Source organism: Homo sapiens, chromosome 14, assembly GCF_000001405.40.
Source record: "Homo sapiens chromosome 14, GRCh38.p14 Primary Assembly".
In the NCBI taxonomy this organism is placed as follows: domain Eukaryota; kingdom Metazoa; phylum Chordata; class Mammalia; order Primates; family Hominidae; genus Homo; species Homo sapiens.
The window spans coordinates 30,418,165-30,439,135 of NC_000014.9; the positions used below are offsets into that span (position 1 = coordinate 30,418,165).

Below are 20,971 nucleotides of genomic sequence, written 5' to 3' on the forward strand. Positions count from 1 at the left end.
AGAAGACCAGTATGGCAGTCCTGGTTTTGCTTTTATCACCATGTGACCTTTACTGAACATTCACCTCCTGGTGTGTTAAATGAAACTAGCAATATTTACCTCACAGAGTTGACATTTGCATTTGATTAAACGAAATAACACAGAAAGTGCTACATAGAAGTCCATTTCTGCTGTCAACAGTGATCTTAGAGTTGGAGAATTTTGCTGCAGGTGTAAAAGATGCAAGACAATCCCTAACAGCCATTGTTTTTACCACCATGGACTGATTCTCTTTCTTTTAAAAGACAAAATATCTAGCATTATCCCTTCCTAATTTTCTGGAGGAGGGAGGGGGTTAGCTTTCCTAAGAGCCCAGGGCTTGTTCAGGACCCCTAAAACTGTTTACCAAATGCACCCCCCAACGTGCCTGAAGTCAAATTGTGAAGTGGCATTGGTCGCTCAAGTGTCCCATCATCCTTAGGACATTTACCCAACCTCAAATCGCCACCTCCTTTTCCCAACACATACACACGGGAAAGCTTACCTATGTTTGATCTCATCTCCTCAGGAGCCCTCTTAGCGCAGCCAGCAGGGCGTGAGTCTCGTAATCTGAAGGTCCTGATCTCATCTCCTCAGGATACCCTTAAGTTGTCTAAATTAATGAAGAACCTGTGGGTTAAAAAGTGGTTCATGTATACATTTCACTATTGCCCTCTTGTCATTCCTATCTTCAGATCAACGTTCCTCATTATCAGGTCACTTACCTACTCAAAAGCCTTCCATTTCCTCCTGTTTTAATTCTAATTCTGATGCCCTTGAGATCCTGGCACAATCCTAACCACACAAAGTTATTTTCCACCACTTCTGTTGGGTTCCTGCCATTCAAGTCTTCAACTACCAATGTGACAAGGCCCTGGGATGATCTCTCTGCTTCTATCCACTCCCTAAAATTATTCCCTCCCTCAAGGCCTAATCCTCAGACACTGAAACCTTCCTCCTACTCCAGGCCTGCAAGACCTCTCCTCCCCAAACTTTCTACAACTCTTGGAAATGAGAACACATAGTTTAGTTATTAATTAACTACTGCCTTATCTTTGTTGTTTTGTTTTAGTGTCTCTTATCTGCCTTCTTTCTCCATCTACATTACAAACTCTTTAAAACAGGAGTAATCCATGTTTGTGTCTCTCATCCTTCCTAGCACATGGTAGAAAATGTTGGTGGCCTGTGTGGCTTACCTTGCATGGTATTTCATTGTAAAAGTCATAGTAACCACACCAATGGAGGAAATTGCAAGCCAGGAGGAATGCTTGGGGGAAAGACAAGTTGGCCCTCTGCGTTCTCCATGCATGCTATGTTCTCTTCTTTCCGCATAGAGATCAGACCTGGACACAAGCTCACATTTTTTGGCTCTAAGAATCACTATGAATTAACTCACTGCTACGTCTCACTAGAAGTTCCCTGGAAGAGGTAAGATTTGCTTGATTGATATACAATAGAGATTCAGCTATCTAGAATACACGGGTAACAAATGAGACTCCATAGTTACATTTCCAGGTAAACAACAATTTACTCCTAAATTTAAAGCATCATCATCTTTTATATTTTAACCATTTGAGGAAATGTGTGCTACATTCTAAAATGTGTAATATATTTCCCTGTTTTCTCAAACAGGCTAACAGCAGCTTGATTTAATAACAGAACAAAAGCTCTCAAATTTTTCCTGACAACTTCTCCTACCAGCAGAAAAGGGTAAACATCTGTCTCCGAGGGAAGAGTCACGAAATGCCCCACTTTTATCTTAAAATATTATCTAAATTTTGTATTTAATACTAGATCTTTGCTTGTTGAAAAGTGAAGTCAATAATTTAAATCAATGGTTCCCTAATATTAGTTCAAAGTGAAACTTTGCCAAATGACCTCTTTTAGGAGGTTTACATCCTTCTTATTTAGTTAATATTTTAAAAAGCCTTCCATTATCAAATGATGTTGACAGATGCCCTTAATTGACAAAAAAAAAAAGAGTTCCTCCCTTTTTAGTTTACTAGTACTTAAAAGAAAGAAAAAAACAGGACCTGCTATTCCAGTTTATAATAAAGCTGGAAAAAAAAGACATTTCAGAAAGGTGTTCACATGAGTCCCACATTTTCTATACCCCTAGCATGCTGCCTTATGCCCCAAGAGTATGCATCTTTATGAACCTCAGCTTTGGGGTTTGCTCTCAGGACCTCCAGAAGTAGGCAGGTTCCTGGCTCCACACTGAAAATCCCAGACCGTTATACGTGTCAGGTTTTCCCACTTTCCATCAAGTCATAGGCTGTCTGTATCTCCTTTCATGTGCCTGCTGGAACAGACTTTATCTCACTTTTACATTTTTATGATGAGGAAACCAGCTAGGAAAGATTTTATATTGAATGTAAGGATTAGAATAAGTATTCCTGAGTGTCTGAAGAATTCTCCTAGGAATAAATATAAGAGCATTAGTGTGTGAACATCGTATCTATTTGGTCCACTTGTTATAGCTACAGTCCTCTCTTCTGTATTCTTGGCTACACTACAGATTAGTAAGGTTCCTGGCAGCTAAATTTTGACTTGATGAATTATTACTGAACTTAAGCAATAGTATAAACAACAAATTTCCCACTTGAATTAAGAAATAGTACTTCATAGGAAAAGGCTGTGTAAAAAAAATCAGCCCCAAAACTCAGTGGCATGCAACAATAAACATCTATTCCAATGCTCATAGATCTGCAAGTCAGCTGGGACTCAACTCATCTAAGCTAGGCTCTGTAGGCAACTTTGCTTCAGATTGAGGATCTGACTGGGCACGACTCTGCTGCAGATTGGGCTCAGGTCTGTTCCATGTGTGTTCATTCTGAGATCCAGGCTGAAAGGGTAGCAGGTACCTGGGGAAACTCTTCTCATGGTGATGTCTAACAGGGCAAGCCCATCTACTTAAGCACATTTCAGTCCTCTGCTAAGGTATGTCTGCTAACATCTCGTTGGCCAAAGCAAGTCTCATGCCAAACCCCCAAAGTCAAAGGATAGGAAAGTATTCTTCACCCACCATGAGGCCATGGCAAAGGTATGGATGTATAATCTCCCTGCAGGAGAGTGAAGAATAGTGAGAAATTCAATCTATCACAGGCTGGATAACTTCTGACCACAGCCACTAATCATAATGGACTTTCTAGAAAAAAGAAAAAACAAGTTTTAAGGCAACTTCTGAAAGTGGAAGGGAGATACCTTGTTGGATATAAAGTGAAAGCTTTCAATTATGATATGCTGAATAAAGGACATTATGAAGGAAATGGAAAGTCATGCTTCCTAATATGGCAGTTGCATTAGGATGCATGTAAAACTGAGTTTGCTATAGGCTGGTTTTATAAGTGATAATTGATTGCAAATTATATTGACAGTTATTGAACATAATTATTCACCACAGGAACCATCCTTAATCAATTAATCAGGGCACAATTCAACTTCACTTCTTGCATGTGGGAACAACCAATTTTTTTTCTTTTTTGCTTTTTTTTCTTTACCTACTTTGTTTGCTGTTGAAACATTTTAACAAATTAATTAGATGCTAATTCTCAGCAATAAATGAAACCCTTAAGGTGCTCAAATTGTAAACTCCACAATAAAACCTGTTTATTCTCAAAGATGTGCCTCAGATTCTGAATAAACACAGATCTCTTCCAGGGGTTGCATTCAAGGAATGGGTCCAAGTTTCTCACTGTCATCAGCCAGGAGAGATATCTCCAAGGACATACTACAGGCCTATCTCTGTTTTATTCAAATTTTAACCAAATACTTAAAAAAATACACTGAAACCAGGCTTTCTGAGTTTTCAACTGACTCAAAGATGGAAAGGATAGATAGCATATTAGACACAGACTTCAACTTCTGAACAGGCAGAATGATACACAGAAGCTTACAAGGTAAAAGTCAATACGGAGAAAACTAATGCCGTGTTTTCAGTAGTGTTGCAAAGTCAAAGCCTCCAAACAGGATGGAGGAGATAAAAAGAGAGCCACTCACATTAAAAAAAAATCTAGCTGTTTCAGTTAACATCAAATAATAGAAATCAGCAGGGAAATGTAACTTCAAAAGCACTGTTGAATACGTGGACTGCATGCATATCAATAGCGCTCAAAATAAGAAATGTAATAGTCTCATTGTCTTCTGACCTGGTCAGACTCCAGGGAGAGTATCAGATTTAGTTACCAGTGTTATTGTTTACAAAGGAAATTAAAATACAGAACTGTATATACAGGGGTCTGAGATTAGGGTAGAGAAGAGTTTCAACACCAGATTATATGAAGAATGATGGAAGAAAAAGAAGATACATTGCATGAGCAAGGGAGAAGTCAGGAGAGACACGAGAGTTGTCTCTAAATAGTTATAGCATTGGTCTGACGGAGAGGGATGAAAATAGATTCTGAGCAGCAATCTCAAAAATCTGAGAAAGTCTTCATTGACAAAACCTTCAGGAAGGCAGCTTTCAGCTCAGTATGAATCTTAGAGGTCTCCTACCCAATCTCTTTGTCTCATGGAAGTGGCCCTCTTTTATAAGCACTCTGTGACCTAAGGCCCATGTCAGCCCCACAAGTCTCAAGATTCTGTACAGGAAGAACAGATGTGTCAAATTTGTTATTACACTGAATTTTTAAAGTTCTTTCCTCTATTGAAAAATCAAGTACATCTTTGCAAAATAAAAATAGAATTTTATTATAGCAGTACAAACATTTTATGCTATTCTTTATAGTTTCAAAACTATGAATATCCAATCAAACTTCATAATTGCTTTCATAAATGCCTAATTAAACTATAAATATTATTAAATATATCCATGTACAATAAGAAATGGAAACATCTGGATGAAAAATGGAAAATTTAGACAAGCAGCTGGATATTTTACCTACACAATGCTAGACACCAAGACATTCAGAAACATCAAATGGCTGATAGAATTTTGGCATTTCATCTGGATATTCAACTCTATCTTCAGCTTTATTTCAAATTATTTCTTAGAGTCTCAGCTTCTCTATTTTTTAATGGGAATATTTTATACACTCCTCCTACTGAATAGCATTATCCAGTCACAGATAAAACACTGTTTCTCTTCCTCTGCCAGCTCCCCCTACTCTGATCCCACCCTCCTTCACTTTACTATTCTACAGGGATACCAGAAATGCAGAAAGAATCAAGACGGGGCTTTGGGGATCCCCCCCCCTTCCTGCAGCCTCCTCTTACAGGCCATGTTGACTGCCAGAAAGTCCAACATGACTCTCCAATCTGGCTTTGGATGTTCTTCAACCCCTCACCACCCTGGCCCCCACTCGTGTTTCCATCTTAAATACCAGTGATTCATTTCCAATTCCATATCCTCTCTGACCTCAGTTTCCAAGGCACCATCTCCTTTGATATGCCTGATGGCCCACGCCTTCACGATGCCTGCAGTCAAAACAATATGATGAAAATACTAATTCCAACTTAATCAGCACTACATTAAATTCAAATATTGCTGTAAGTGGTCGACATGAATTAACTCATTTAATCTTCACAACAATCCTACAAGCAGGTACTGTTAATATGCCCATTTTGCATACATGGAAATTGAGGCAAGGTATTTAATAACTTGCCCAAATTCTCATAGACATAGCACCCCAGACCTCCAATACAAATTCTGGTTTTCTCACTTTGGAGCTTCTCTCTTAGCCACTACACTATACTGCCTGTCCCGTCAGTCTACTCTAATTTGTAAACTTTTTGCCAAAATTAGTGTTCTCAAACTCAAAGAAGATGGTTATAATGGATTATTCCCATGTTTGAAGCAGTATCTGAAACTCTGTCTCTTTCTAGAAGCCTACATATATTTGGTACATGGAAGATGACATTTTTTTCCTAAGAAATTCCAACAACTGCCTTCCAAGGATAAAAATACTTGTCCCTTATTTGTTCTCCTTGCTCTCCGAACAATATAAATGCAGCAGGTAATCTTGTACCATTTAAATATTTTACTTGTTTTATAAAGGTTAATCCACATGAATAAAATATCTCAGTTAGTCAGTCATTCATTTGACAAGTATTTACCAAACTGTTCTAGGCACTGATAAGACAAAAATCTCTACCCTCACGGAGCTGGCATTCTTGTAGGGAAGACATAATAAGCAAGATAAATATATAAATGATACAGTATGTTAAGTGATGACACATGCGAATGAGAATATAAAGTAAAGAAGAAAGAGATGCAATGCCAGAAAGGGAGTGAAACTTTAGATGCCAAATCCAGGGAGAGCATCGCAGAGAACATGACTTTTGAGTGAGACCTGTAGGAGGGAGGGCCTGGCCATGAAGCTGTGGAGGAGAGGAGCATTCAAGGCAGAAGGGACAGCCTGCATTTGGAATGGGTCCGGCATGTTCCACAAACACCAGGAAGTCAGTGTGGGCAGAGAAGAGAAAATGAGGCAGGGGTGGGGAGGGAGATGAAGGCGAGAAGGAGGGAAACAGAAGATAAAGGCATAAAGGCAAGGAAGAAAATAGGGAGGGGGATCTAGAACATGAAGAATCTTTTAGGCCATTATAAAGAGTTTGGCTTTCAAGAGTGGGCTGGGAAGCTACCGGAGGGTTTTGAGTCTAGGAGTGGCAAGATCTGACTTATGCTTAAGCGGGATCCTCCGACCGATGTTGAGAACAGACAGCAGCAGGGCAGGAGGAGAAAAGGGGCCAGGGAGGAGGTTAGCACAATGATTCAGGTGAAAGATGAGGGTAGCTTGGACTAGGTGGTAGCAATAGGAGAGATAAGAATTGATAGAATTCTATTTTGAAAATAGAACTGACAGAATTTGCTGACAGATGCGGGGCATGAAAGAAAAAGTGGAGTCAAGAAAGACAATGAGATTTTTGGTCTGAACAAATAGAAGAGGATTGATTAAAAACTCCTTGGAGAGAGAATCAGCCACATGTATTCACTTAATACATAATGAATATAAATTTTAAAATAGTAAAATGAATTGAAATTCCTCCAGAAACTGTTAAGTATGTGTAAAGAAAAGTAGAATAATATGAAGGTGTGTTATTAAAATATAGGATTCTTCTCCATTTAAATATGACATTGATGGTCCTATGTAACCAGTAAATAAAAAGAAAGGCTTAATTTTTTCCACGGTGATGTTCAGATAGCAGATACTAAACACAGCATTAAATATTTGCCAGAAAATCTGATAGTCAGATTTTGATATTTATTAAAGACTTTCCATATTGAGTTTAATTAAGGATTTGATTATGAATTCTACCTTGAAGGCATGATTACTACTTATCTCTTCACTCTTGGGCCAAAGAGAATTACAGATGCTGAATATCTCTCCATTGCATCCATGAAATAGTCATTAGTTTGAAAAGACATCTCTTTTCTCAGTGCTGAAAATTGCCTAGAGAAATTTAATTCATTCATCTTTTATGGTACTCTTGTAAGGAATACTGGATGTATTTTTAATATCAGAGCCAAGAAAATAAATGAATCATCCTAACTAATTTCCTGATAAATATACAATTGTCTTTTATTACCCTTTTATTATCACATATTAGTCTTTTATTCCTGTTAATACTGTGAAATATGGCAGGGAAATAATGCTGCTTTTTAGAGAGTGTGTATAAAATTCACCACTCACTTTCATTACGTAACTTGGCATCTTCTGTTCCTAGCTTTCCCATTTCCAGTGTGTCAATGGAAAAACCTCACCATGGATGGAGAGACTCACTCTTTAAGTAACCTTATTGTTAGCTAAATATCTTGCTATCGTAAAAAGATGAAGGGTTATGGCAGCCCATTTTAGCTCTTGGAAACTTTTGAAACACACTATTAAATGCATGAAGAGTCACATGGCTATTCAGCAAAGAAGGAACTTCTGGGACATAGCTGGTGTCTCTTCCCTAATGGGATCCAGTCAAAAGGCTAGAATATCATAAACTGGCAACCAATGGCAGGCCCACAATCCCTCAAAAAGTAATGGTTCACTGCCAGAAGATAAAGTATGCATCCCCAACACTCAGATTGCCAACTATTTCTCAGGGTTTGGTTCCCTGGCCTGGGACTCTGCCTTTGATTCCCCAGTCTGGGACTCTGCCTGAGGAGGTGGCATGGTGCGGGGTCCCTTCTCAGTGACCTAGGGCTCTGGTTTTCTTTCTAGCTCCCAGCCCAAAGAAAGCCTTTATTTTCCCCCTTTGTCATGGGAGTATGGGTGAGTGGGGAAGCACAGAGCCTGGCTTCATAAATATCTTTCATATCCATCATTGATACAGTGGTTTGATCTTGAGTTAATTTGGCTTCGATGTGGCCTCCCCAGCTGTAATTTATCTCTATTCCTCCTCCAGCACATCAAGCAACTGTACAACTTCTCACTTGATTCATCCATCACCAGTGTCAAAATATAACATAGAAGTTTTTCTTTCTAGTTAAAATATAAAAATATGAAAGGAAGGCTATTTTCTCTGATCTTTCTCTGACATGATCCTGTCAGAATCTTCAGGTTCTCTCTTCTCTTCTCTATACTTGTCCATGGGTTAAGTGTCATTTATTAGTGATATATCCCCTTTGTTTTAGACAATGTCAGTCATGACTGTAACCATAGGTAACCTGTTTCTCCAGAACTATAGCCTAGTTTTAATCTTCACTCCTTTCTCAGTAATCCTGCTGGGAGCTATCACATATTCAGATAGCTTTTGCAATCTCTACATTGCAGTTGGTTTCTATAACATTCCTTTCAAAAAGACAGCCTCATCATAATACTGAAAATAACTACGTTTTCAGATTGTTCTCTAATTGTCTTACATATAATAATAAATATAATTATAAAAAGAAGAAACTACAGTGTATCCATTTTGGGTATTAAAATTAGTTGAATCAGTTTTCCTGCTAATATTCTTCCATGAGAATCACATTCAGAACTTAGAAACTGCAAATGTTTATTTTTATTGAAGAAAGGTAGCTTGCTAAACATATTTAATATCAGGAATAAATATGGATTTGTGAGAGAGAGAATAGATTTAGTGCCAATCATATATCATTGTTTTAAAGGTAAACTAGAGAGCTTTATCCAAAACAAATTTAAATAAAGTAAAAACCCACCTCTCTCTCTCTCTTTGTAGCTCATAGACAAATATTTAAACATAAATATGCAAACCAAGGGATCCACCTTCATCTGGGTTAAAATGTATACTGAAAAAGTATTGAGAATAAGAGATATCCTATGTTAGTTACCAAATGTTTGGGAGCAACAATTAAAAAGTGTAGATTACAAGAGTTTTAAAGATGAAAAGATCATTCTGGGCTAAGATTATCCACAAATTTTTCAAGAAGGAGGCAGAATTTGAGGTGGGTCTTTAGGACAGGTAGGATTTAGAAAACTGTAGAGGAACTGGGAGGCATTTTTCAATGGGAAGAGTGACGTCATAGTGAGCATACTGAGATGGTTGTAAAAAATAAAAGGCAAATGCATCTAGTTAGAATTGATAGCATAAGCAATCACGAAAGATCATACTACAAGACAGAATGAGAGCAGACCTGGAGGACCTTAGATGGCCAAGAAATGTGAACTTCCAAGGATACTACCCAGAAAGTGAAAAGAAAACCCACAGAATAGAAGAAAATATTTGCAAATCATATATCTGATGAGTCTAATATCAAGAATATATAGAGAACACTAAAAAATCAGTAATAAGGGAAATAGCCCAATTAAATTGGGAAGAAGAAGTATTTGAATAGACATTTCCCCAAATAATAAATGCAAAGGACCAATAAGCACATGAAAAGATGTGCAGTATCATTAGTCATCAGGGAAATGCAAAACAAAGCCACATTGAAACTTTACACCTACTAGGATGGCTATGATGAAAAAGGCAGATAATAACAAGTGTTGGCAAAGATGTGGAGAAATCAGAACCATCACACATTGCTGTAAAATGCAAAATGATATTCCAACCTGGAAAACATTTTGGCAGTCCTCAAAAACTCAAAATAAAAGGGCCTCATAAACTTACATTTATGTTACCAGATGACTCAATAATTCCATACCTAGGTATATGCCCAAGAAAAATAAAAAGAAATGTTCACACAAAGCAACTTGTATACAAATGTTCATGGAAGCATTATTCTTAATAGTCAAAAGGCAGAAACAACCCAAATGTCCACCAAGTGAACAGTAAATAAAGAAAATGTGGTGTATCTACACCATGGAATATTATTTGTCCATAAAAAGGAATGAGGCCGGGCTTGGTGGCTCACGTCTGTAATCCCAGCACTTGGGAGGCCGAGGCAGGTGAATCACCTCATGTCAGGAGTTTGAGACCACCCTGGCCAACATGGTGAAACCGCATCTCTACCAAAAATACAAAAATTAGCTGGGCGTAGTGGCTTATGCCTGTAATCCCAGCTACTCAGGAGGCTGAGGCAGGAGAATTGCTTGAATCCGGGAGGCAAACGTTGCAGTGAGCCAAGATCATGCCACTACACTCTAGCCAGGGCGACAGAGCAAGACTCCATCTCAAAAAAAAAGGAATGAAGTATGGATACATGCTACAACACGTATAAACCTTGCAAACATTATGCTAAGTGAAAGAAGCCAGGCACAAAGGCATTTATTGTAAGATTCCATTTATACATGAAATGTCCAGAATAGGCAAATGCATGGAGACATAAGGTAGATTAGCGGTTCCTAGTGGCTGGGAGGAGGGAGAAATGGGGAGTGACTGTTAGCAGATATGGATTATTATTATTTTTTGATAGGGGGTGATGAAAATGTTCTGGAATTAGGCTGAGCATAGTAGCTCATGCCTGGAATCCCAACATTTTGGGAGGTCAAGGTGGGAGGATCACTTGAGCCTAGGAGTCAAGACCTGTTGTACAACATAGACAGATCCTGTCTCTACCAATCATATATATTTTTTAAATTAGCCAGGTCTGGTGGGGCATGCCTGTAGTCCCAGCTACTCGGGAGGCTGAAGTGGGAGGATCACTTGAGCCCAGGAATTTAAGGTAACAGTGAGCTATGATTGTACCACCGTATTCCAGCCTGGGTGACAGACTGAGACCCTGTTTCAAAAAAAAAAAAAAAAAAAAAAAAAGGGAAAAAGAAATGTTCTGGAATTAGATAGTAATAATGGTTGCACAACTCTGTGAATATACTAAAAACCATGGAATCATACACTTTAAAATAATGAATTTTATGCTATATAAATTATATCTCAGTAAGAAAAAAATACACAATGAAAGAAAGAAATATGAACTATTAATATATCTTTTAGGCCCTACATAGCTACTGAAGATTTTTGGGTAGCAGAGTGGAGTGTTCACCTTTGCATTTTGATGCATCTTTTTTTTTTTCAAACGGGGTCTTGCTCTGTTGCCCAAGCTGAAGTGCAGTGGCATGATCTCAGCTCACTGCAACCTGTCTCCCAGGTTCAAGCAATTCTCCTGCCTCAGCCGCCCAAGTAGCTGGGATTACAGGCATGTGCCACCATGCCCAGCTAATTTTTGTATTCTTAGTAGAGATGGGGTTTCACCACGTTGGCCAGGCTGGTCTCAAACTCCTGACCTCAGGCGATTCACCCACCTCTTCCTCCCAAAGTGCTGGGATTACAAGTGTGAGCCACCGCGCCCGGTCTTAATGCATTTCTTTACCTTAACTTATCCCTTGGCGTGTAATAGCATGTCTCACAATGTGTGCCTAGAATAATTTAATGCCATGAAATGCTCTAGCAAAAAAGCTCTCCCTGGTCAAAAAGCTGGTAAACTGTATATCTCTCAAATATTTCTTATTCATATCAATGCAATAATGGCCCTAAGCAGTCCTGCAATAAAGAAACCTATTTAACTTTGTTCACGAGTATTTTCTCAGACTCACTTGACCATGGAGCATCCGCTTATCTCTCAAGAGCACAGTGTTCCACAGAAATCACACATTGGGAAATGCTGGCCTCTCAACCTGCTTAAGTTCCTCTTATCTAAGATCCCATCACTCCCTCAATGACCTTTGTCTCCTTTCTTCTCTCCAAGCCCCGTTTTTGACCAGCCACATGCTCCTTGCCATCTGGCACCCAGCTTTATTACACTAAAATGTTTCTCTCAAAAGTTATCCAAAATTTCCTTGATACTGATCTAGTGGGTGGATGTTTGTTTGTTTGTGCCCCAAGTAAATAAAACTTTTTATGTGGTGATCATGATGACTATCTTTTTCTTGTAATTTTCTGCTCCTCACCTCTTTGAACACCTTTTTTCCTCCTCCTGATGCCTAAGTGATAGATATCCCCACAAAGTTGTATTCTTCACCTTTTTTCAATTTCTTGAGACAGGGTCTCACTCTGTGACCCGAGATGGAGTGCAGTGGCACGATCTTGGCTCACTGCAGCCTCGACCTCCAAGGCTCCAGCGATGCTCCCACCTCAGCCTCCAGAATAGCTGGGACTACAGGCATGCACCACCAAGCCTGGCTCTTTTGTATTTTTTGTAGAAACGGGGTTTCACCATGTTGCCCAGGCTGGTCTCAAACTCCTGGCCACAAGTGATCTGCCCACCTGGGCCTCCTAAAGTGCTGGGATTACAGGCATGAGCCCCCGCACCCAGCCCTCTGTACCTTTTTTATCTGCTGGAACCCTGGGTGATTTTATCTAACTCATGATTTCTGGAGGTCTTGAAACTCTTTGCCCCAGCGTCTCACCACCGCTCCAGTTGCTCATTTTCTACTGCTGGCTACACCTGCCCACCAGAACATATGAAAAGGCCTTCTCAGCCTCACTGTTCCCACAAAATAAGGCAGTGAAAACTATCTTCCCTACTACTGGAAACCCTGGAGTCAAGAAACATAATCACTAGAATATATTTTCCAATTTAAAATTTCTACTGCATCGCTTTTTACTCAACTAGTTCCTAAAGGAATTTAAACTAGCTCGCACCTTATATACAAGAAGCCCTCAATAGCTATCTGTTGAATGTGAAATATTAATGTGATCTTAATTTGTTTTATAAGAATTTCTCTCTTAAGCATTGCTGCTAGAATTTTAAATATTCAAAAAAAGAAATTAATCATCACAGGCCCCCAACTTACTTATATCTCATGCAACTAGCTCCTTATCTAGACTAAGATAGAAAGTCTCCTTCCCTTTGGTAATTACCATTACCATTACCATTATCACAATGTTCTTTTCCTTCTAGAGGGAAAAGTTCTCTCCCTTTATGGCAATAGACAGGACGTTGGTCAGGATAAGGTCAGAACTTTAGACCCCTGGCGATCCTTATCTCTCCCCAACCATCCCCTTCCTTCCCTTCACCCTGCACATCTCACTTATCTGGCTCCCATTTTAATCCTTCAGGTCATCCTCCTTCAACCTCTCTCTGCCAAAACTTCCTCTCCATCACAAGAGCCACCACCAGTGCCTTTGATCCACAGCACTCCACGTCCTATTGCCCACAGATGGGAGAGGGAGTTCTCCCATTCCACTTGGGGATGGGGAAAATGACCTACCCTGATATTCAATGGCATTCAGAATACATGTTTCTTTATTATACTCTTTAAATATTATTATTTAATAATTATTTAATATTAATATTTTTAATTGGTAGTATATTAATATTGTTTAATAATGTTTAAAATAATAATTGCCTTCTGCATTTCAAATACATTTCACCTACTGGCCAGGAAACTCAATAACCATTTATCACAGTGTTTTCATGGAAAAAAAATAGCTTCTGAGTTTTAAATGTAAATTTACAAATGAAATTAATTGCTCAAAAAATGTTCATATATTGGGAACTGTGTTTACCCTGGCATAGAATTATTATTATCTATATTATTATTATACTTGATTCTAAATTCCTGTCTATGTTTTGTTGCTATTGGTAGCTCAAGAGATTAAATCAATGCAATCCAAGAAAGACCTCCCCAATTAACTTTTAGAGTTGAAATTCAGGAGACTGTGTCTCAGACTCTTTCAGGTAAAGTGAACAAATATTTTGGATAAAACACAAATGAATATTTGATTTTCCAACTAACTCGATTTTGTGAACCTTTGTAGGTAAAGTCAGTCAAGGTTTTAATATTAAAATGATGAGAACTTTTTAGCCACTCTTCAATCTGCTTCGGATTTCTGCCACCACCTTAGGAAGATGTTATACTGCTGACGACGAGGTGTGACTTTGTCACATCAAAATACATATACACCTATGCTTAAGATGGAAAGGTGATTGTAAGTCTCACAGTTCGAAGGTACAGCAGGATGGGATGGAGCAGAAGGTTTAATAATGAGAAATTACAGTTTTCTGCAATTCTTGAGGATCGGAGGGAGGAAATTATTTGCTTTATGCTGGTGGCAATTTCCCTAAACCCTGTGAGATGACATAACTCAAGCTGTTGTAAATGCAGACATGGTAGCTACCAGCCACAGCTCTTGGTTGGAGCAAGATTCCCTGGGGCATAAAGTATATTGAAAAACCTTTCTAAATAGGATTGATCACTTAATTTGACTGTTTTAGAGAACATCTTATGTAGTCTTCCATTTCTGGCACTTGTGCACAGCCCCTTGGAAGCTTAATCATTTCCACCATAGATGTGTGTACATCTGCACATATATTTTAATTAGATCATCTAATCACAGAGATGATCATAAATATAATGTATTAAAAGTGTTAGACACTAGTTATAGAATATTCCTTACCTTGGCTTTCACAATATAGTACCATAGCCAGTAAGTTCTTCCTCCGAGAAAAAAGTTAAATCTATAGATGCATGCTTGTGTCTGTTTTCCAAAATACATATAGTGACATCAACAATTGCGACCAGGCCTCAAAACAAAACAACCTGCAGCACAAAGAGGACCATTGTGTTTAAACACAGAGGAGCTGATAGGTGTTCAGTTAGCCACACACTTTATTTTGAGGGGTTAACTTTTGCCTCTCACTTATACTTTTTCTTTCATGAATGAGCAATTAATTACTTCACTGCTGTCGCTGTTTCAGCACTTCAATTTACAATAGCCCTTTGTTTTCTTGCAAATGAAAAAAGCTTTGAAGGATTTCAATCTTCAAAAACACAGAACACTTTCTTTCTCTTTATTTCTGAACACATAAAAAAAAGTCTATTCTTATGTATATTTAATAACAGGCTTCAAAAAGAGCCTTATTGTGCACCTTAACATGATCTGATTGATTCTTGCAGCTAAGTCAAAGGAACACATACAAATCCTAGTTCTGGGAAACGTTTTCTATTTAAAAATTCTAAAGTGTAAACTTTATAATAAACTAGGGGAGAAACATAAATATGTTGTATTTCATTTTAGATACAGTTAAGTACAGTTTAAACACAGATGATATAATGTGACTTGTATAATTAAGTGCTTCATCTTAAGTCACAGAAAGTTCAGTGCTGTTACAGTTAACAATTAGAAAGAAAACTTTCTATGTCTTTATTTATGTTTGTATCTTGAAAACAAGGAGATACATGTTTGTATTTACACACACACACACACACACACACATTCTTCACGGGCAAAGGAAAATAAAACACTGAGGCATTGTCTGGTAGAATTAGTGGGCATTGATCATACCTGAGACATAAATCCCTAATATTCATCTTTTATTTCTCAAAAACAGATTGTTGATAGAGCAATAAATTTGGCTAGGATAATACAAATCCAATGATTTAGAATGTTTACAGAATTTAAATCTTCTAGCTGACTCACTAGTCTGATCAATTCAGCATTAACCAATATATACTTCCTGTTTTAGGCCATGAAATTAAAAATATGAGCAATTCAATTAAATGTATAGAATAACTTCCATCCTCAGTGAAGAGGAATTGAACTTAGTGTATGTTAATATCTTAGTCTTGCTATTAAAAGAAAAATTATAGTCCTGAAACAAGTTTGCTGATTGTAAATCACTTCTTTCTCATAATATTGGCGAGAATGCCCATGAGCATAATATCCAAATCAGTTAATAGAGGACTCTAAGTAGTTAAACTCCAGCAAATTGAGAATATACTGTAAGTACGCAGCTGTTCACTTAATCTTACATTTTACAAGTGCAGCATTTTGTGTTTTTTAATGTGAATGTCTTCTTCCTGGTCCACTGAGAACTCAAGGTGTTTTACCATTTATGTCAAAATCAGATACAAATTAAAACAGCAAGGCAAGATGTATGCTGACCTGACAACCCATCACCCCATCAGCTCATGTCTGCAGAAACAGCTTGCACTCTGGTGGTCAAAGTGACCATCAGCAAGGTCCTGAGCTTTGGAGCTGCACTCCATCATTTTTTTTTTTTTTTTTTTTTTTTTTTTTTTTTTGAGACGGAGTCTCGCTCTGTCGCCCAGGCTGGAGTGCAGCAGCGCGATCTCGGCTCACTGTAAGCTCCGCCTCCCGGGTTCACACCATTCTCCTGCCTCAGCCTCCTGAGTAGCTGGGACTACAGGCACCCGCCACCACGACCGGCTAATTTTTTTTTTTTTTTTTTTTTTTTTTTTTTGTATTTTTAGTAGAGACAGGGTTTCACTGTGCTAGCCAGGATATCTCGATCTCCTGACCTCGTGATCCGCCCGCCTAGGCCTCCCAAAGTGCTGGGATTACAGGCGTGAGCCACCTTGCCCGGCCCATCATTCTTTATTCAGTTAAATAGTGGTTCAAAGTCAGAGTCATCCTGCTGAGCTCCTTGGTGGATACTGGGCATCCACAGTTAGGTTAGATTGACGGGAACACAACTCTTTATTTATGGTTACCTCTGTACCACCAGAGATAACCATGGGATTTCAGGGCCTTCAACGAACACAGCTGGAATCCAGTGATCTAGAAGTCCTATGTTTCAGAGAACTGGAAGGATCTGGTGCAACCCTGAAACAAATACTCAGCTTTCCAACCTTGGAGTTCTATCTTAATACAACCACACGGAAACAGCCTCACATAAAATACAATGGACCACTTGAAAAGATATTCTATCTTGGCCTAAATTCCTGGCTGGGACACACTACTCATCTCTAGTATAATTTTTGATATTTGAATATATTACCCCATACATGGCTATGGCATAATGTGTTTAACCAATCTCCCAGTGCTGGCCATTTCTAGTGTTTCCCATTTTTACATTAAAATAGTAGCTCTGCAACAACTATCCACACAGCTGTATTCTTTAGAGGATAAACCTCAGGAGTTAAGAGTATAATCATGAGTGCACGGCAGACTGAAGTTCAAACATTAACTCTGTCACTTTCTAATGGTGTTTTCATGGGCAAACCACTTGTCATCTCAAAGCTTTAGTTCCTTCATCTGTAAAAGGAATATAATTGCTCCTAATTCTTCGGGGTCTTGTGAGACTCCAGTGAGAAAGTACATGTAAAATTATAGTAAATAATTTTCAGTTTTCTCTTAAACACCTAGTCGACTATATTTATTTCCTTAGGATAAATTCATAGAAGTGAAATTACTTTACCCATGTACATTTTTAAAACTCCTGATGCTTGTTGTCTAATTTTCCTCAATATACACAATTCCCAATAGTAATATCCAATTGTATAGTAATTATTTGTGAATTGGCTTGTACCTAGAACTAATCTGAGAAGTACTTAAAAGAAGTTCTAGGTCTTACTTCATCTCTGTCCTCTGCCTACCACAGGGACAGATATATAACAGATGCTCAATCAGTGTTTGTTTAGCAAATATCTATATTTTCCCTTCTAACATAAATAAGCACATCCTTTTTTTTTCTTTTTGTTTTTTTTTTTTGGATATGGAGTTTTGCTCTCATTGCCCATGCTGGAGTGCAATGGTGTAGTCTCAGCTCGCTGCAACCTCCGGCTCCCAGGTTCAAGCAATTCTCCTACCTCAGCCTCCCAAGTAGCTGGGATTACAGGTGCCCACCACTACGCCCAGCTAATTTTTGTATTTTTAGTAGAGATGGGGTTTCACCATGTTGACCAGGCTGGTCTCAAACCCCTGACCTCAGGTGATCTGCCTGCCTTGGCCTCCTAAAGTGCTGGGATTACAGGCATGAGTCACCGCGCCCAGCCAGCACATCCATTTTTCAAACAGCACCGCCTTTTCAGCACCACCTTTTCAGAAATGGGCAAAGGCCCTGCTTCTCATTCATTCTGGAGGCCACTGCTGGTAAACAGAATCAGGTGGGTGACATAGTCAATAGCAGCAGTTCTCACCTAAGGTGCTTATTTTAAAATGCAAATTCCCATGTTCTACTTGCAGAGATTCTGATTGAGAAGGTCTCAATAGGGTCCCAAGTATCTGAACATTTAATTATTAACTTCCAACCACCACCACTCCTGATATAGGTAGTGTATGTATTCAATTTTTATAGGCACTGTCTCTGGAATCTTTGCCTCAAAATACCAGAATTCTGAGTTCTTTCCAGCCCTGTGAATCTATAACACATTTTCTAAAAACATGACTAATCAGAATAAACTCAGAATGCTTGTAATTTATACATAATATTTACCGATTAGTAGAAGGTGCATTGTTGCTAAACTAGATAAGCTTTCTGTTGATATGGGGGGAAAACAGATAAAATAAGGATGAAGAGTTCATCCTGATACCTGTCCACACACAGCCAAATTTCATCCTGGTACTTGCTCATGGTATGATAAGAACTGAGTTGATCTGCTTGATTTTCACAGAAAATAGAAACTGTGCTACCATGAGTCTCATTTTGTTTGATCCAGATTTTCCAAAGACAAGAGCTGGGAGTGGCCTCCATAGAGGCCACCAGCATCGAAGCCCATGAAGGCAGAAATAATCAGCTTCCCTGTCACCTGCTGTCCTTTAAGGGGCATTCCAAAACTAAAAGACTCAGGTGAAGGTTTGAAGAAGGCAGCCCTCAGAAAGTTCTTCAAGGTCAGCAGGAAAAATTCAAGAACCATCTGCTCATTTTGCAATGGAGACCCAGAAGCCAAGCCCAAGAAAGGAGCATGCAGAACTAAAAGACAAATGATGCTAGTAAAGAGAAGCTCTTAAGCTTGACTGCCAGTTCATGTAGTTTTGGTTTGTATAGTTCTGGATATAGTTCTATATCCAGCTTTTCTCAGAATGGTTTCCAATTACCCAACTACCCTGAGTCTCAGATGAGAAAACAGGGATGCTATCGCATCACTTTTGTCTTATATAAAATAGGGTAGAGTTGTTGGGAGTAATATATTAGATGACTTAGCAGAGTGCCTGTTACAAAATATAGGTGGTAAATCATTTTCCTTCTCTTTCCCTCTCTACCCTCACCACATCTTTACCCCCAACCTCTATCTCTGTGCATCTGAATAGGCCTGCTAGCTCACACATTCCTATGACATATTCCTGTGGCACATTCCTATGTCTTTTTAAATAGCAAGCAATAATTTGTTGAAAACATGATTATATACCAGCATATTTGTTACAGAGTATATACTGAAAATATAAATCATGATTCACCTGGGTGTGGTGGCTCACGCCTGTAATCCCAGCACTTTGGGAGGCTGAGGTGGGAGGATTCGTTGAGCCTGAGAGTTTGAGACCAGCCTGGGCAACACAGGGAGACCCCATCTCTACCAAAAATTTAAAAAATTAGCCAGGTATGATTGCACACACCTGTAGTCCCAGCTGCTCTGGAGATTGAGGCAGGAAAATGGCTTGAGCCTGGGAGGTGAAAGCTGCAGTGAGTTATGATCATATCACTGCACTCCAGCCTGGGTGATAGAGAAAGACTCTGTCTCCAAAAAATAAATAAATAATGATTCATAATCTCAATGAATTTATAGTGTAATCCGGGAAAGAAAACTAACACACATGTATAATCAGGGAAAGAAAACTAACACATATGTAACAACTCTGGAGAATACTGAAAATTTTATTAAATTTTATTATTAAGTAATTTGATGTATTAAAATTTAATTCATTAAAAATTATCTGCTGAATCTTCCATAAGTACTTTAGAATTCAGAGAAAGAAGGAATCTATGAGCCCGAATCTCCAGGGAAGGCCTCGAGGAGTGGTCATGGTTTAACCTTAGTTCTGAAATAAAAACATTCACTGATTATTTACTATGTGTTAATTATACTGAATACTTTACAAGAATTATTTTATTCAATCTTCAAAACAACCCAATAGTTATGTATTATTATTCTCATTTACTGACATAGACGGTATTTTTCCCAAGGTCATAGTTGGTAAGCAAAATAAGTGGGACTCCATCCAAGGTCTGGTTGACAGCAAAACCTGTTCTCTAAAAGATGGGAAGGATTTGCATAAAGAGAAAATGCAGTGAGTGTTACAAGACAGCAGAATAGTATCACCAAGTGATTGGAACTGGTGATCAGATCAGGAATGACTGGCATAGTCAGGAAACTATGGGGTGGTGAAGGTGGCTAAAGGTGAGATTTCATAGTGAGAGAGAGGCCCAAGGAGCCCAACTGTTAACCTAGTGCCACAGATGAAGACATCAGGTTTTACAGACTGTCAGCCACAAGAAGAGATTCAATGAGTTCCCTGATCTGGTTAGAGAAATGCAGATGTGAGAGAGATCAGGCTTTGGTGTCTGTCACCAGACAGGTCTCCTGGTTCTGTCCAGGTGATTCAGCTGTGAGACAGGTCCCCATCCTCCCTCTCTGCTCCCCAAGAGAGGAGTAAATGTTGCTCTGTATCAAGACTTCCCAACAAGTTTAGAAGAATCTCTTTAAAATGACCCTTTTTATTTCAGACACTCAACTTGTTTTTGACTATAAAGGCAATTGCTTGAGAGGCTAAACTCCTCCAAATCACAGGGGGCCAGTTATTGCCTGTGACCTCCAGAGGGAATGAGGCTTTCTTCAGATGCGACATCTTAAAACTGGCAAATAAAAATGCCCATTTTAAACAGCAGAGACTTGAGTTAAAAGAAAATTATATTTTGATTCAACTTGCTCAAAAAACACTTTAATGCTTACCCCAGATTTGCTTTGCTTTGCAATCTAAAAACATATAAATGTGAGTAAATATG

General features: G+C 38.6%; 2 long non-coding RNA genes across 4 annotated transcripts in view; both read right to left on the minus strand.

The window, feature by feature from the left end:
• The window catches only part of LOC112267868 (uncharacterized), a 96,358-nt gene that overhangs the window by 39,985 nt on the left and 35,402 nt on the right, over positions 1 to 20,971 (minus strand). For all 3 annotated transcript variants that reach the window (XR_007064106.1, XR_007064108.1, XR_943707.2), the window contains one exon: positions 524 to 648. This is a non-coding gene — a long non-coding RNA (uncharacterized LOC112267868). The remainder of the gene's footprint in view (positions 1 to 523; positions 649 to 20,971) is intronic.
• G2E3-AS1 (G2E3 antisense RNA 1) overlaps positions 19,828 to 20,971 on the minus strand; it is a 139,366-nt gene continuing 138,222 nt past the window's right edge. The window contains exon 4 of the long non-coding RNA NR_151720.1: positions 19,828 to 20,007. This is a non-coding gene — a long non-coding RNA (G2E3 antisense RNA 1). The remainder of the gene's footprint in view (positions 20,008 to 20,971) is intronic.